Raw genomic sequence first — 17,571 nt, forward strand, 5'->3', positions numbered from 1 at the left:
CCACAGAAATACAAACTACCATCAGAGAATACTACAAACACCTCTACGCAAATAAACTAGAAAATCTAGAAGAAATGGATAAATTCCTCAACACATACATTCTCCCAAGACTAAACCAGGAAGAAGTTGAATCTCTGAATAGACCAATAACAGGAGCTGAAATTGTGGCAATAATCAATAGTTTACCAACCAAAAAGAGTCCAGGACCAGATGGATTCACAGCTGAATTCTACCAGAGGTACAAGGAGGAACTGGTACCATTCCTTCTGAAACTATTCCAATCAATAGAAAAAGAGGGAATCCTCCCTAACTCATTTTATGAGGCCAGCATCATTCTGATACCAAAGCCAGGCAGAGACACAACAAAAAAAGAGAATTTTAGACCAATATCCTTGATGAACATTGATGCAAAAATCCTCAATAAAATACTGGCAAAACGAATCCAGCAGCACATCAAAAAGCTTATCCAACATGATCAAGTGGGCTTCAACCCTGGGATGCAAGTCTGGTTCAATATATGCAAATCAATAAATGTAATCCAGCATATAAACAGAGCCAAAGACAAAAACCACAGGATTATCTCAATAGATGCAGAAAAAGCCTTTGACAAAATTCAACAACCCTTCATGCTAAAAACTCTCAATAAATTAGGTATTGATGGGACGTATTTCAAAATAATAAGAGCTATCTATGACAAACCCACAGCCAATATCATACTGAATGGGCAAAAACTGGAAGCATTCCCTTTGAAAACTGGCACAAGACAGGGATGCCCTCTCTCACCACTCCTATTCAACATAGTGTTGGAAGTTCTGGCCAGGGCAATCAGGCAGGAGAAGGAAATAAAGGGTATTCAATTAGGAAAAGAGGAAGTCAAATTGTCCCTGTTTGCAGACGACATGATTGTATATCTAGAAAACCCCATTGTCTCAGCCCAAAATCTCCTTAAGCTGATAAGCAACTTCAGCAAAGTCTCAGGATACAAAATCAATGTACAAAAATCACAAGCATTCTTATACACCAACAACAGACAAACAGCCAAATCATGAGTGAATTCCCATTCACAATTGCTTCAAAGATAATAAAATACCTAGGAATCCAACTTACAAGGGATGTGAAGGACCTCTTCAAGGAGAACTACAAACCACTGCTCAAGGAAATAAAAGAGGATACAAACAAATGGAAGAACATTCCATGCTCATGGGTAGGAAGAATCAATATCATGAAATGGCCATACTGCCCAAGGTAATTTATAGATTCAATGCCATCCCCATCAAGCTACCAATGACTTTCTTCACAGAATTGGAAAAAACTACTTTAAAGTTCATATGGAACCAAAAAAGAGCCCGCATCACCAAGTCACTCCTAAGCCAAAAGAACAAAGCTGGAGGCATCACACTACCTGACTTCAAACTATACTACAAGGCTACAGTAACCAAAACAGCATGGTACTGGTACCAAAACAGAGATATAGATCAATGGAACAGAACAGAGCCCTCAGAAATAACGCCGCATATCTACAACTATCTGATCTTTGACAAACCTGAGAAAAACAAGCAATGGGGAAAGGATTCCCTATTTAATAAATGGTGCTGGGAAAACTGGCTAGCCATATGTAGAAAGCTGAAACTGGATCCCTTCCTTACACCTTATACAAAAATCAATTCAAGATGGATTAAAGATTTAAACGTTAGACCTAAAACCATAAAAACCCTAGAAGAAAACCTAGGCATTACCATTCAGGACATAGGCATGGGCAAGGACTTCATGTCTAAAACACCAAAAGCAATGGCAACAAAAGACAAAATTGACAAATGGGATCTAATTAAACTAAAGAGCTTCTGCACAGCAAAAGAAACTACCATCAGAGTGAACAGGCAACCTACAAAATGGGAGAAAATTTTTGCAACCTACTCATCTGACAAAGGGCTAATATCCAGAATCTACAATGAACTCAAAGAAATTTACAAGAAAAAAACAAACAACCCCATCAAAAAGTGGGCGAAGGACATGAACAGACACTTCTCAAAAGAAGACATTTATGCAGCCAAAAAACACATGAAAAAATGCTCATCATCACTGGCCATCAGGGAAATGCAAATCAAAACCACAATGAGATACCATCTCACACCAGTTAGAATGGCGATCATTAAAAAGTCAGGAAACAACAGGTGCTGGAGAGGATGTGGAGAAATAGGAACACTTTTACACTGTTGGTGGGACTGTAAACTAGTTCAACCATTGTGGAAGTCAGTGTGGCGATTCCTCAGGGATCTAGAACTAGAAATACCATTTGACCCAGCCATCCCATTACTGGGTATATACCCAAATGACTATAAATCATGCTGCTATAAAGACACATGCACACGTATGTTTATTGCGGCATTATTCACAATAGCAAAGACTTGGAACCAACCCAAATGTCCAACAATGATAGACTGGATTAAGAAAATGTGGCACATATACACCATGGAATACTATGCAGCCATAAAAAATGATGAGTTCGTGTCCTTTGTAGCGACATGGATGAAATTGGAAATCATCATTCTCAGTAAACTATCGCAAGAACAAAAAACCAAACACCGCATATTCTCACTCATAGGTGGGAATTGAACAATGAGATCACATGGACACAGGAAGGGGAATATCACACTCTGCGGACTGTGGTGGGGTGGGGGGAGGGGGGATGGATAGCATTGGGAGATATACCTAATGCTAGATGACGAGTTAGTGGGTGCAGTGCACCAGCATGGCACATGTATACATATGTAACTAACCTGCACAATGTGCACATGTACCCTAAAACTTAAAGTATAATAAAAAAAAAAGAAAAAGAAAAAAAAAAGATTGAGAAGCGGGTGGGGCAAGCCATGAGGGGGAAAGAAAGCAGATGAACGAACACTCTTTTTACAGAACAAATCCCTTTCTTATCAGTTCAACCATCAATCTTTAGTTTTCTGAACACTGTTGCTATATGCTCAAATTGTCCAAGGTATGATGAGGGCATGAAGCAAGTAGAAGTCAGAGCCCAAGTTTTAAAAAGTTTTACTGTTGTCAGGGAAACAAGATTCATGCACATTAAAATATTAGAGTACATTCTTTTTCTGTTTATGTACTTATTTCCAACCTCATTCCCCCAAAGGATTTGTGATTACTTACAAAAATACACACAAAAACCAAATGATAAAATAAATAAAAAGTAAACGGGCAGGATATAAGTGGGAAAATAATAAAACTATGGTCAAGATAAATACAGGAATATACAGTATGCTGTCCAGACTAGAGGTGGACTATAAGTTTTGAAATCCTTAAGCACAGGCAGTAAATCGCACTGGGCGCTCTATGCAGAGCCAACTGGTATGAATATGGCAGAGCAATGAGTTGCCAAACCTAGCTGTCCAGAAGTGTCACTTATTAAAGGCTTCCAAAAACTCCATAATGAACCTGAATTCCTGGGGCAGGCAGGCAGGGAAGGAATGCTGGGAATCTGCATTTTTAATGTCGTCAGCCCAAACTTGGGAACCACAACTGCAGGGATTTGGAAATAGGGGTTGAAAAAGAACTCAAAAAATCAGATTCCAGGAATTACGGTGGTTGTGGATCTGAAGCAGGGCCTCTAAGGTTAGATGGAGTTTAAATAGGTGGAGATGATGATAGAAGACATTCCCAGTAGAAGTGTGGGCTAGAGCCAAATCACAGAAGCAGGAAGGAGCCTGAGGCCATGAAGGAGACAGCATCATCCCTAGTCACCCTGGAGCAGTAGTAAGGGGACTTAGGACACTAATTTATTGCTCAACCCGCTCAATTTTGATCAAATCCCAAAAATAATTAAAGAGGCTATATACATAATAAATGAGTTATATACAGAAATAGAGATGGTAAGAATGTATATATTTGTTATCTATTGCTGTGTAACAAGTTACCACAAATTTAGTGGCTTAGAATAATACACATTTATTATCTCACAGTGTCTATGAACCAGGAATCTGAGCAGAGCTTAGCTGGAACCTCTACTCAGTTCTCACAAGGCTAAAATCAATGTGTCAAGTGTCAGACCTCAGGTGTCTGGGATCTCATCTGAGGCTCTGGGTCCTCTCCCAAGCTCATGTGGTTTGAGGAAGAATTTATTTCCTTGCTTGTGGCTGTAAAGCTCATGATGACTTGCTTCTTCGAGGCCAGCAGCAGAATCTCTGAGGCTTCTAGTTTCTGACCTGTAGATAATCTTTTAAGGAGCTTGCCTGATGAGGTCAGGCCCACCCAAGAAAATCTCCTGTTTTTATTCACTCAAAGTCAACTGATTAGGGACCTTAATTATACCTACAAAAGTCCTTCCACAATTGCCATATAATGCAGTCTAATCACAAAAGTGTTATCTGTTATATTCTCAGGTTCTGTCCTCACTTGGGGAGGGAATCGTACAATGGGGACCTGGATCTTAGTTTCCATCTTAAAATTCTGCTTTGCCACAAAGTACAAAGTAAAGATGAGAGAAAAATGTTGCAAAGGTAAGGTATATGAACCAACAGAACATTGGTAATTACACATGTCAATTTGGCTCTGAGCTTCCCAGCAGTTGAAGTACAAAGGAGTTATGACCCAGTGATTTCTTAGTACTCTGATCAGTTCCTAGTACTGACTTATACAATATATTTCTCATGTCTATTAGAAATCATGAAATACAGCATCAAAATAAAGTGAAAGATACAAAATGAAGTCAGATGGAATTTGATCCAAAATAACTCTTTGCCAAGTATGGGATATGTTGACCCTACCGATACAATGGGAAATTGGCAATGACAAGAACCAAGTTCATTGGGGTGCTTGGTCAATATCAGGTACCATGGGCTGGTGATTGGGGTCCCTATAAAAGAAATCAGCTGTGAAGACATACCAGGAGTTGTTCCAAGGCAAGGGGGGAAACTGAAGTCACACATGAACTGAAGTTACAAGTCAGAGGTATCTAGGTGTGGAGGAGATGAGAGCAGAAGTTGAAGCACTGCATAGCTACCAAAGAATCTTGCAGAAAGGTTACCCTTTCTGCAACCTTGGAAGTGTTCTTGTTGTCTTGGTGTTATTTGGCCACCTCCCTGTGGAACAACTTTTCCCCGGGACATCTTAAGGGCATCACTTGATCTCTGTCAGAGCTGATCAAACATCTCTGCTTTGCTTTACAATTCTCATAATTAGTTCTAAGCATTCGGTAGCATGAACTGCTTCACCCTGTGTTCCATTGGGACTCTATAATGAACCTGCTTTTGCATGCAAAATGCTGTTCTTTCTTCCACCGACTAACATATTATCTCTTTTTATGACCTCACTCAATTCCACCACTGTCTCCCTTCCTTGAATGGCTCTCGTCTACTCACAGAGTCAGCACTGTCTGTGTAATTGCTCTGGCTTAAGTCTGGTCTTCTACAATCTGACTATCTGGTCCACCACAATGTCCTCTTCATTTTCTTTCGTGTTCAAATTTCCCTGGAGCTCACTATATTGCATATACAAGGCTTATAGATCAAAAAAGCCTTGGAATCCTCCAGCTCACCTGCCTTTGCAATGAAGCCCATTCCAGCATTGTCTGAGGACTTCCAGGGAAAAGAATCTTTTTCATAAGTTCTCACCTTGTTTCTAAATGAACAAAAGTTCTTCCTAATATTAGACCACAGTAACTTCTCTTTAACTTCCATTCTTAGTCATAGTGCTGCTTTCTTGAGTAAATTAAAATACCACACTTCCTTTCATATATTGTTCCTGGGAGTATAAATTGGTATAATCCCCTTGAAAGACTGTTGGGCATTAGATCTGAGATACTCTATTATTGCTATGTGTAGCAATTACACAAGCACTCTTAACATATATGTGTATATTTGTTTACCAAGAGACATGAGAGACATGTGCCAGCATATTCATAATAGAACTATGTGTCATGGTCCAAAATTGGAAAATATCCAAATGCCCATCCATAGTAGGAAGACTATATGGTGGCAGAGTCACACAATGGAATATTATACAACAATGTGCATAAAGTTATAATTAAACACAGCAATACAGATGAATCACACAAACATAATTTGAAGGAAAGAAGCCAGACACAAAATTACACAAACCGTATGATTCCAATTAGATAAAGTACACAAAAGGCCAAATTAATCTAAGCCACTGGAAGTCAGTATGGTGGTTACCTTAGAGAATGTGACTGAAAGGGAATTTGAGGAAGGCTTCTAGGGTGCTGGCAATATTTCTTGTTTTGAGGATTAGTGATATGGGTATATTCAGTTTATAAAAATTTATCAAGCTTTATACTTAGGTGCAATTATCTGTATGTATTTTATACTTCAATAAAAAAGGTTAAACATTTTCCTCTTCCAAATGTCCCAAATAAATCTAATTTATTTAGCCATTTCTAATATGATATGGACTGTAGAATGTTCACGATCCTAGCCACCTACTTATAAAAACTTTTCATTTGTCAAACCTCTGATCATTCATTTGGAACTTAATCCTACTGATTGGTGTGTAGTATTCTTTAAACGCCCCACGTGGGATTAACTCCTTCTCCCCACTATGTTATGAAACCCATAAAGATAAATGTTTTCCCCTTTGATTTTCCAGTAGCATGTGTATTCAGTGTAGATTGTACACTAAGAAAATACTCATCTTCCCTTCTCTTCCTTAGCAAGTGCAGATGAAAGTGGAGATTGAATTTACATAGGACCTATTTGATAAACCAATTCAAGAATCTTTCTTTTTTATTTCAATGAAAGTTTAATGCTAATGTATTCAGTGAAGCCAAGTTTTATTTTGCTTATTTTGCTCTCTGCCCTCAGGCTGATTGAGGAGTGACCTTTGCCTTGATTTATGACAGACGTTTGGGTATGGAGAGATGGAGACTACTATTAAGCAGATCCCTCTAAAAGATCTGAGTAAGTATTTCTTATTTCCATTCCTCTCATCTTCATTATTCATAAATTCTTCCAATGTCTGAAACCCTTCCTTATAATTTTCTCTTCTCAAGAAGGAACATACTCATTTGGACAATGAGACAATGAGAAAGAAGTCTTCTTATTCCTGTAGTTAGTGGTATCATCCTTCCTGATAAGCTCAATAGAGGGTAAAATAAATGAGCAACAGAATACAAACCACATGCCTAGCAATGGAGAGAATTCTAGGTTCTAAATAATGAAATGAAAATAATATTTTTGGTGCTGATAATGCTCCTGGCCGATAGCTTGTCTTTCCAAAACAAATATCATAAGAGAAATCTGCAGACATTCACATCATGAATGCGGTTTTTCTCTCTGCACACACACTCATTTGCACGCTTGGCACCTGGAATGCTTGGTTGGTACACAGTTTGCTGAAATTTCCTTTCCCATTTGGCACAACTTTTCCTAGATAACATTCATGAGCATCAGTCACCTCCACAAATAGCAAAGAGAGAGGCCAGCTTCTTGGCCACATTCATATTCCTGCCACCAGGACACCTTTATAACCATACTTCAGACTACACAAGCACAGCCCTCGCCTGCCCAGGTTTTCTATGTATAAAAAGACATATGAACGAAAGAGAGAGAGAGATAATGAAATTATGAGTCTGCAGATTCTTACCAAGCCTGTTGAGGAACTATCTCTACAAAATTGAAGACATGTCAGTCCCTTATAAGATCATACAAAACATAGAGGGAAAATCTAAGAAAGCTACTCATGCAGAAACTATTTAATCAAAGGAGAAAGACAATTATAACATCTGTTAATCTTCTGTAGAGGTTATAATTAGATGCTTTGGAGAAACACCCTTTCAAGGGTGATCCTTTAACATCTGTTGTGAGGACACACAGCATTGTGCAGTGACGAATCACCTCGGCACTTTGGGAAAACAGGGGACTACTGGGATCACAGACACTGCCAGGGTCCCCAGGCTGCCCTTGCATGCAGCCCAGCCCTGAGCCCACTGCCCTGAGGTGGGGGCTTTCCTCCTTGGTGCTTTGATAATTGCCTGTGTTGTGAATCAGGCTGCAATCATTGTGTGACTATGAATAACAGGATCACAGCACTGGAAACGGCCTTGAGACCATCTCATCTTCTCCCCCTTCACTTTGCAGATGGGAACACTTGATCCTATGTCCTTTAGCTGGCTCATGGCAGGATTTTACAAATAGAATTGTTCAATCTCTCTGTTCAGATTACTCTCCACTCTACCATGCTGCTTGCTCCTTTTGGTCTCCCTTTCGTTTGGCCTGTAATGTGGATGTGTTCTTTGTTTAATGAGATGAGCATTATAATAAAGTCCTAGGGCATTTGAAGATTATGGAGAGGTGGTCTTTTTCTCTGGTCTCTGGTTCATTAAGAGACACTGACCATGGTCCCTTCTTTGCTCTGGAGAGGAGGAGGAGGACGAGCAGTAGAGATAAATGAAGATGAGGAGGGAGAATAAGAGCAAAAGGGAGGAGAAAATAGGAGAGGTGAGATGCAAATGGTGTAGAGGGAAGAACGAAGACAGAAGATTGAGAAATAAGGTGGCATAGACAGAGAGATGTGAAAGAGGAAGGGAGCAGCCAGGGAAGATGGTCCAGGACTACAGAAAAAGGGTATTGAATGAAGACCCTATAGAAGGAGTCACATCCTCCCTACACCCTTCTGACTCCGTTACCTGCTTCTACTCTACTTCAAATTAGCAGTTCTACACACACAGAAGACCACAGGATTTGACAATTTTGCCAAACGAAATGCAGAGATGATAAAGCCAGGGGCATCACATAAACAGATGCAATGTGCTGAGCAAAAAAAAAAAAAAAAAAAAAAGCCCATATGGCAGGAACATAATAAAAGCACTCATGACCCAGAAGCGGATTGGGGGTGCACATTGTTCTCTGTAGTTGTTTTGGAGTGGCAAATACTCATTTGTGCCAAAATACTGAGTAAAGGGAACTGTTGACATTTGACATTAGGATTAAACAACTTCCTAAACCTGGGACACACAGTGCTGTCCTCACCTCTCTCATTGCCCTAAGACAGTCACTGAAGTACAAGGGCCTACGTCGTCCTCAATGATAAGAGCCAATAATGAGAACAGTATTATTAATATGTATTAATAGTATTATTAATAACGTATTAATACTACTTACATGTATTGTGAGTCTATTTTGGTACAGGCACTTGAGGTAGCTTATCTCATTTATTCTTCACGATGAACCTGTAAGAAGGTAATATAATCTAAATATGTGGCTCAAATAATTACTGTGTAATCTGGAACATATTAACCTCTTGGTACCTTGGTTTTTGCATCTAAAAATGGGATTAATAATAACGTCTATCTCAGTGGTCTGTTTTAAGGATTATATGAGACAATATGAATAGAAAGCACAATGGGGTCAGACACATCATACACATTTAATAAATACTGGGCAAAATCGCTGCTGATTTTTTAAGAATCTCACAGCCTAGAGTGCAGTGGTGCAATCAGGGCTTACTGCAACCTGGAACTCTTGGGTTCAAGTTATCCTCCAATCTCAGCTTCCTGAGTAGCTGAGACTACAGGTGCACATCACCATGCCCAGGTAAGTTTTTAAAATTGTTTTTTTAGAGATGGGGTCTTGTTATGTTGGCCAGGCTGGTCTTGAACTCCTGGCCTCAAGTGATCCTCCCACATCAGCCTGAGTCACTGAGATTATAAGCGTGAGCCCCTCACCCAGCTACTGTTGAAATTACTACATTTTATGGATGGGGAAATCATGCCTGACAAGGTTAAATAACTTGCCCAAAGTCAGTAGAGTTCAGAACAGAGATCAGAACCCAGGGATATCCAAGGATAAATGCCACATGGGTAAGAGCTGTAGTTATAAGCCTTCCATTATACTGTCTGCATTAATTGACTCCAAAGATCAAATCCTGGTCTAACGTACCATGATGTCTCAGGAAAAGAATGTTTCACAGCATACAGGGCTCTAGAAAATCTCTAGCCCAAAGTAGGAAACAAAAAGGCACATTACTAAGCTCAAGACATCTATCTGTTCCCACTCCTCTTGTCTTCATCAATAAGAAGATAAAAGAAATCCTTGCCCATTTTCTTATTCATTTGCTCTCATACCTATAGAGCCCCCATTGGACAAATGCCATGAATACTGATTCTTGTACTATGGGGAATAAAGAGGTACTCACACACTTATTGAAAGTTAGGTATAAAACCCAATGCCAAGCTTTGTGCCCCGAGTCCACAGGCATTTTGACTGCATGAGATTTGAATGCCATCAGATGAGGTATAAACATGAATATTTTCGTAAGTATAAAAATGGAGAAGAGAAAGTACTAATTTAAAAATCAGAAAACTTGTGTATATTCATCTATTCACCAAATATTTGATGGACGCCTACTGTGGGCCAGCCACTGTTCTAGGTCCTAAGGTTACAATTTCAAACAAAACAGACACAGGCTCTGCTTTTGTGAAACATAACAGCCTAGATGGGGAGATGTTCTTAATCAAATAGTTGATGATATATTTAATTATACGGGTGATAAGTGCTATGAAAAACAGAGAGATGGAGCTACAAGAGTACATCACAAGTAAAGAAAGCCTTCCTCAGGAAGTGTTCTTTAGGCTGAGAAGAAGTTGTACCCAGGAGGATAGAGTGGGGAGAAGAGAACCTTCCCCAGAAGGAGAGATTTGGGTGAATAAGAGGAGCTGGAAACAAGCCAGCAGGTAGGAAGAGAACAGCTCTGGACTACCCTGCTCCTCCCCACCACTGTTTCCTTGACTGGAAAGTGGGTGTGATGGAGAACATGACACGCTCTCAGCTCTCGGAGTCTAGCTTCTCTTTGCTGTGTCCAAAGTGAGGGCTTACTATAGAGTGAGAAGATTCTTGTCCAGCTGCATAGAATAGAAAACCCACTTTTGTTGAGAGTAAGGCTCACTGAAATGTAGGCAGCAAGTATAACTTGTGCCTAGGTCAAGAGAGCCATCATCTCTCTCAGCCATGTTCAACAGTCAATACTGGGTTCCCCAAAGGCTCAGATCCCAGGGCCCCAACTCCAAAATAAATGTCCTAGAGAGATTTTATGACTAGGCCTCCACAGCCCTGGTTTGGTTGATGGCTTATTAATGATCTATTCTAATTCTCCAATTTCCTCTTAAGAAAACAATGAAAATGAAAAGTTAAGATATCTAATTTTTCCTTATAGAAATAAATAAGATGCACTTTAAAATACCATTTTCACAGTTTTACTGCTATTTATCAGGAATCCTAAAAACAAGAGCTTCTTTAACAGGGTGGCTGTAACTGTTGGCAATTGGCCTGTATGTGAAATTTTACTTAGTTTAACAAGGCCCTCTACTGGCAATCTGCATGAACACCGTCTCCAAAGGCAAAGTTTCACATTATTTTAAGTGAACTGTTTTAACTACTCTCAATAACAAAGTATCTCACATTCCTGATTCTATAATTCAAGGCTCAAAGAATAAGTGGGGAGAAAATCAGGAAGGAAAGAAATAAATGTCATTTTGAGCATTCATTTAGTGGTTCATAAAATAACATTACATGAGGTATCATTTGCTTTCCTCTGATGAAGCTATACTACATGTCAAAGGTACTCAGAAAGGAAGGATATTTCTTACACTGAAATGTATTGAGTATTCATGAGACTATAAAACCAAGTTATGATTGCTATTTACCAACTACAATAAACCAGATCGTTTCTATTTACCCAAATATGAGTAACTGGCTGTAATGAGAATAAAAGAAACATTGGAGGCAGGCATTTAAAATTGTTGCTGATATGGCACAACTAATTATTAACTTATCCTCCTTGGCAACTGACAAAAAAAGAACATGGTGACTTGAGAATATAACTACTCACAGAAGATGAATGTTTTAAAAGGAGATTATATTTGACATATATGTCAACGGGCTGTTGGAGCAACTGGGAAACTTCAGCTATAGGGTCTTAGAAAACTAAGTAAATATTAAAAATGAGGCAATAACTTTAGGAAAAAATGTTAACATAAAGATGTGATCATAGTGATTTGACTCAACGTAAACAATATTTGTAATCAAAACAAAAATAAGCACTATGCATGTAATTAAAACTGCGATATAATTATATTGAAGAATAGGGATGCTCTGGGAGGTACAAAAAGATATATTATAATCTACCATAATAATAAAGAAGTAGTACTTTGACATACACACAGAAACATATGATTTAGGAATATTACATAAAAACAGCTGAAGAAAAAAAAAACTCAGAAATGGGGTAGAGAGGGTGGCCCAAGAGACTGTAAGATTTTATATAAATATACACACACATATATATATACACATATAGAGAAACACATACTCAATGTTTATATATATGAGCATGTTAGAGCTATTGTTTAGTACTAATATTCATATATATACATAGATATATAAACAATTTACTATTGTTGGATTTTCTGATTTATGAGCATGTATTACTTTGACTTTTTAAGTTGCTACAAAACCAGTTAGCACTGACAATGGAAACCATTTGAGAAATGCCTTTTGGGCTGGCCTGGATCAGTTCTATGTTTCTAGATTCAATTTGCCAAATGAAGCAAGTTGCCTTTATGGAGCGGTTTGTCAGACATGCGTCTCGACAGTAACACTTGTTCCCACATTTCAGAACTAACAGCTCTTCTTTCAACACCGTAATATTTATCTGCCATGTTATTATTCCCAGTGTATGCTCCAAAATGGGCTTGGGACTCTCCTCTTTCCTCTTGAACTCAGTCCACTGGGCTTCTACAATGCATCCAAATTCTCCTCAAAGGAATCACTAATCCGGTAAAGTTGATTTCTAAAAGGAGAGATCTGGTTTCTTGCCCTGAAAATACCAAGATTAATTTATGTAACTACGGGGAAGTACCCTGTGTAATTGAGGCTTCCAAACTGACACGATACACTTCATTAGGCAAGTATGTATTGGGGCATTGTAAATGTGTGGGTAATGTTCTATGTATCTGAGAGATTTATTATTTCATCTATAAAGGAAGGACAATTGGGAATCCAAAATTCCAAAGGCATTAAACCCTGTAGAGTTAGAGAACTGGAGAAAAAGAAGGCTATAAGGTACTTTGTGCTTAACTGGGTCCATGACTTGCCAGAGTGTTCAGACTAAACCCTTCTGGCTATTTAAATCCACTTTCACAAAATGCTACCATTTCCTTAGGTTACCATTTTCAGGGACCAACCAAATGGCCAAACATTATTTCCAATTTTTTCTTTGTATCTAATCCCTGGATTACACTCTTGACCAAACTTTACTAGGCCTACCAAAACCCACACCAAGAATGTAAATAATCTTGATGTTTAACCATAAACTTGGGCTACTCTACAAAAAGATTCAGGTCTGGCCGGGCGCAGTGGCTCACGCCTGTAACCCCAGCACTTTGGGTGACCGAAGTGGGCAGATCACGAGGTCAGGCTATTGAGACCATCCTGGCCAACATGGTGAAACCCTGTCTCTACTAAAAATACAAAAATTAGCTGGGTGTGGTGGCACATGCCTGTAATCCCAGCTACTTGGGAGGCTGAGGCAGGAGAATAGCTTGAACCAGGGAGTCAGAGGTTGCAGTGAGTCGAGATCATGCCACTGCACTCCAGCCTGGTGACAGAGAAAGACTCCATAAAAAAAAAAAAAAAAAAAAAAAAAAAAAAGATTCAGATCTCTGAGATTAAAGGAAAAATAAAAATAGTAAAGGACTGCGCATAGGCGTTAGACACTTTGGAAAGACTAGAAAATGTGAATTGCCAGTTTGAATGGGTGGAAGTATTAATCTGCTATACTGCTCTGCCAGTGCAGTCAATCGGGGCAGATGTGAATGACCAAAACGTCATTGTGGGTGAATGTGAGGCTCATGAAGCCTCCATATCCAGAAAGCGGTAAAATGAAAGGTTAAGAGTATGCACTGTGGGGTTGAGTGCAGTGTCTCATACCTGTAATCCCAGCACTTTGGGAGGCTGAGGCAGATGGATCATTTGAGGTCAGGAGTTTGAGACCAGCCCGGCTAACATGGTGAAACCCTATCTCTACTAAAAATACAAAAATTATCTGGGTGTGGTGGCAGGCACCTGTAATCACAGCTAACCAGGAGGCTGAAGCAGGAGAATCACTTGAACCTGAGAGGCGGAGGTTGCAGTGAGTGGAGATCGTGCCATTGCACTCCAGCCTAGGCAACAAGAGTGAAACTCCATTTCAAAAAAAAAAAAAGTACGTGCTGTGGGTTCAAATCCTGCCTCTGCCTCTTATCCACCCATGTGACTTGTGCACATTACTTAACCTTTCTGAGCATCAGTATTTTTGCTTGGACAATGAATACAATGATCATAATAAGATAGCATGAGCACAGAGCTTGAAAGTGTGCCTGGTATACAGTAACCACTCAATAGTGATTGATGTTGGAAGAAAACATTTTAAATCTGTTTTTATTGTGCCCATCAACCATGTATCCATACATTTTTTTCATTTATTGAGAACTCATTGTGTGCCAGGTGCTGAGTTTACAAACTACACTTAAGATTACAAATTTGACAACTCAAATTTGGCAACGACTCTATCTCAAATTCACTAGAATCTAGTGGCAGCAGCGGAAGGTAAAGAAATACTTTTAAAATGGGGCTATGCAGTGTAAGCATCCCAACAGAGTTTAGATAGAATACCATGGGGTGTGACTGTTTCTTCATCTGAGAGAAGTAAGAGGGGAGACAGAGCAGGGAACGTTGTCAGATGAAGCCAAGGAACGTGGAAGGATTTCAGAATGCAGGACCGCAGTCTTCTCTCTTAAGTAGGGAGGGAGACACCACCTGAGGGAGGAGCACAGGCAAAGCTGGGACTCAAGAGTGAAGCAAGGCTCACAGGTGCCACCGTGGGAAAGGGGTAGGCACAGGGCAGGAGTCAAGTGGAAATGAAGGCATTCAGTGAGCAGTATTCATCCGTCTACTCAACAAGTAATTCCCTAAGGGCAGTGTCATGCATGGTGCTAAGTTTGGGGAGTCAGTTGGCAGGTGTGCCCTCGTGAGACACAGAGGCTGAAGAGGGGAACAGAAGCACAGTGAACCAATGCGGACGGAGTTCCATGGTGCACAGGGACACCTACCTGCGGTGACTGGGATGTGAAAAGCTGCTCACAGGACAGGAGGTGCATGCAAGATATGGAGGATAAACTGAGTGTGTGGAGAGGTGCTGCAGGAGTACAAAGGTGCAGATGTGCTGAAGAACATACAAGCCCAGCATATTTCAGTAATAGAGAGCAGCTCCTGGTAGCTAGGCCAGTAATTCCCATCGAAATCATCTGAGGAACTTTTTAACCATGGCTGGATCTGAATCCCACCTTAGAGGTCATGATTCAGTAAGTCTGGGGTGGGACGTGGGCATCAGCAAGATAAATAATAACTGTAGCTAATACTCATTAGCACTTAATGTATGCCTAGCATTGTGCCTATTGTTTTAGCTACATTAAGATATCTAATCCTTCTCCATCTTCCCATGAAGGAGGCACTCTCATTATCCACATTTTAAAGAAGAGAAATTGAAATAGAAAAGTTAAGTGAATTAACCAGGATCATAAAGCCGGCAAGTGGCAGAAGCAGGACTTGAGCCTGGGCAGGCCAGTTCCAGAGTCCAAGTTTTCAGTCACTGTGCTGTGCTGCATAGTGAAGACCCTGATTAGCCATCAGGCCCAGAATCCCCAAGACAGCTCTAAGTCCACACTGTGGAGTAGAGTGAAATGAGCCAGGAAAGACAGCCAGGCATCACATCAAGAATATCCCCGTCTTCATGGTCAGAAGTCTGGCATCAAGGGCCTTCAACCACAGTGAAGAAGAATTTAAAGCCAATCAGCACAGTAATGTGGTAATTTTGCCAACCAAGTCCTGAGGCTTGGGTGTTTGCAACAGGAAAATGGATATTTAATTCATTCATTTATTTAGCATAATACATTGAATAACTACTCTGTGCTTAGTGCTGTAGCTATAAGAAGTATTATATAGCAAGCAGCCCTTGCTTTCGACGGAAAGAGGTATTTAACAACATGGCAAAGAGCTCCAGATCCCAGGGCAAAAAATGGCACAAGATACCATGACAGTCGAAACAAGTGAATCACCACTTGGACCAGGAGAGTCCAGGAAGGCCCCCCGCCCCTAGGTAGGAATGTCAGGGACAAGGAAGGCTCCAGAGAGAAGGGTAATGGACGGGTGTATGCGATCTAGCTGAATACTGGAAACTGAGGTCCAGGCTTCAGTGAGAGAATGAAGTGGGAAGGAGGAATCAATGAAAAAGTGAAGAGAAGGTTCCACTGGAGAGAGGGGCCCAAAAGAGGAAAAGCAAAGCAAGCTGTGGCCATAAGAAGAAGTCTGAGACTTGGAAGTAAAGCACAAACACTGAGTATCAGAGTTGGGAATCACCTCAGGTATCCCAGCCTGTACCCAGTGCAAAATGCCTTCTGAACTATTTCAACTGCTGAGGCTGCTCCATTTGCTTTTAGGCCATTATCTGTAAAATAATCACAGAGTTCTCTTTGGTTTGCTAGTGAAAACAATGAGGAACAGACACCTTAAGAAATGTAACGAGAGCCAAAGACAAAACGGGAATGTTCTCTCTTTGCCAGACCACCTTCATCTGTACACCTGCACATAGCCCTGTTCCTACAAGAAGGCATAGGAACCGCGTGTGGGTCCCATTTCTTTTTCAATATTTAAGAACTTGAGAAGTGGGACACATGCTGGAATGAACACAGGAAGCTCAGTTTCTAGTTGTAGCTTTGCCACCATCTTACTGGGTGCTCTTGGACAATCACTTCTCTTCCTTGTGCCCCAAGTTTTCTTCTGTGAAAGGATAAACTTTGATGAATAGTTTGAAATCTGTTTTAGCAGCAAGTCCCTTATTTTAAGCAAAGAATTGCAAAGAGCACTGAGCTCTAATACACAAAACATATCTAAGCCTAATGTGTTCTGATGGAAAAAAATGGAGCTGACAAAGAGGCAGGATGTTACCCACCTTAGGACTCCCTGGAAAACAGTCAAATATTTTGAGGCCTTTTGACACTGGCTTCTCACAATTCTGAGACTAGAGACAAGGAAAAGGTAGTGAAGGCTGTCACCATGTTTCTGGGCTGGTGACAGAGCAGCTGAATTCAGGAGCAAGCCAGGCTCCTGAGTGAGTCATGGGGTTCACATGCGGAGCTAACAGGCTAACAGCCACTTCTTGCCAATCCGTGCAGCGGGCTGGGCTGTCAGGTCTAGAGGGCAGGAATCAGCTGGGATTTGCTACTGGTTGCAAGAGGCTGAACTGCAGGCACTGAGGAGCAGAGCTGGTAGCTTGAAGGACAGAAAGACAATTTTTCACTGGGCTCTTAAGCAGAACTCCCGGGTGGCAACAGAGAATAGCTCACGGGCCAGCCGGTGCAGGTGGGATAAGAGGTTCCTGTCCAGGCTGGCGGCATACATGAAGCTCACTCTTCCTATTTAAATCCCAGAGAATATCTGGAGAGTTTTAAAGAGCCCTGAGGCAGGCAAAAGAGAACATGTGGATTTTGTATACCGATCTAGCTCAGTGTCAAAGTTT

The 17,571-nt window shown here is 40.4% G+C and overlaps 1 protein-coding gene across 14 annotated transcripts in view; it reads right to left on the reverse strand.

Moving 5' to 3' along the window:
• The window catches only part of NCKAP5 (NCK associated protein 5), a 1,003,049-nt gene that overhangs the window by 878,140 nt on the left and 107,338 nt on the right, over window positions 1–17,571 (reverse strand). For 9 of the 14 annotated variants that reach the window (XM_011511100.4, XM_047444133.1, XM_011511099.4 and 6 more), the window contains exon 2: window positions 9,123–9,190. The exons of the other annotated variants lie outside the window; for them this stretch is intronic. The gene's annotated coding sequence lies outside the window, so the exon portion shown is untranslated. The remainder of the gene's footprint in view (window positions 1–9,122; window positions 9,191–17,571) is intronic. 14 annotated transcript variants of the gene reach the window in all.

Source organism: Homo sapiens, chromosome 2 (genome assembly GCF_000001405.40).
Source record: "Homo sapiens chromosome 2, GRCh38.p14 Primary Assembly".
Classification (NCBI taxonomy): domain Eukaryota; kingdom Metazoa; phylum Chordata; class Mammalia; order Primates; family Hominidae; genus Homo; species Homo sapiens.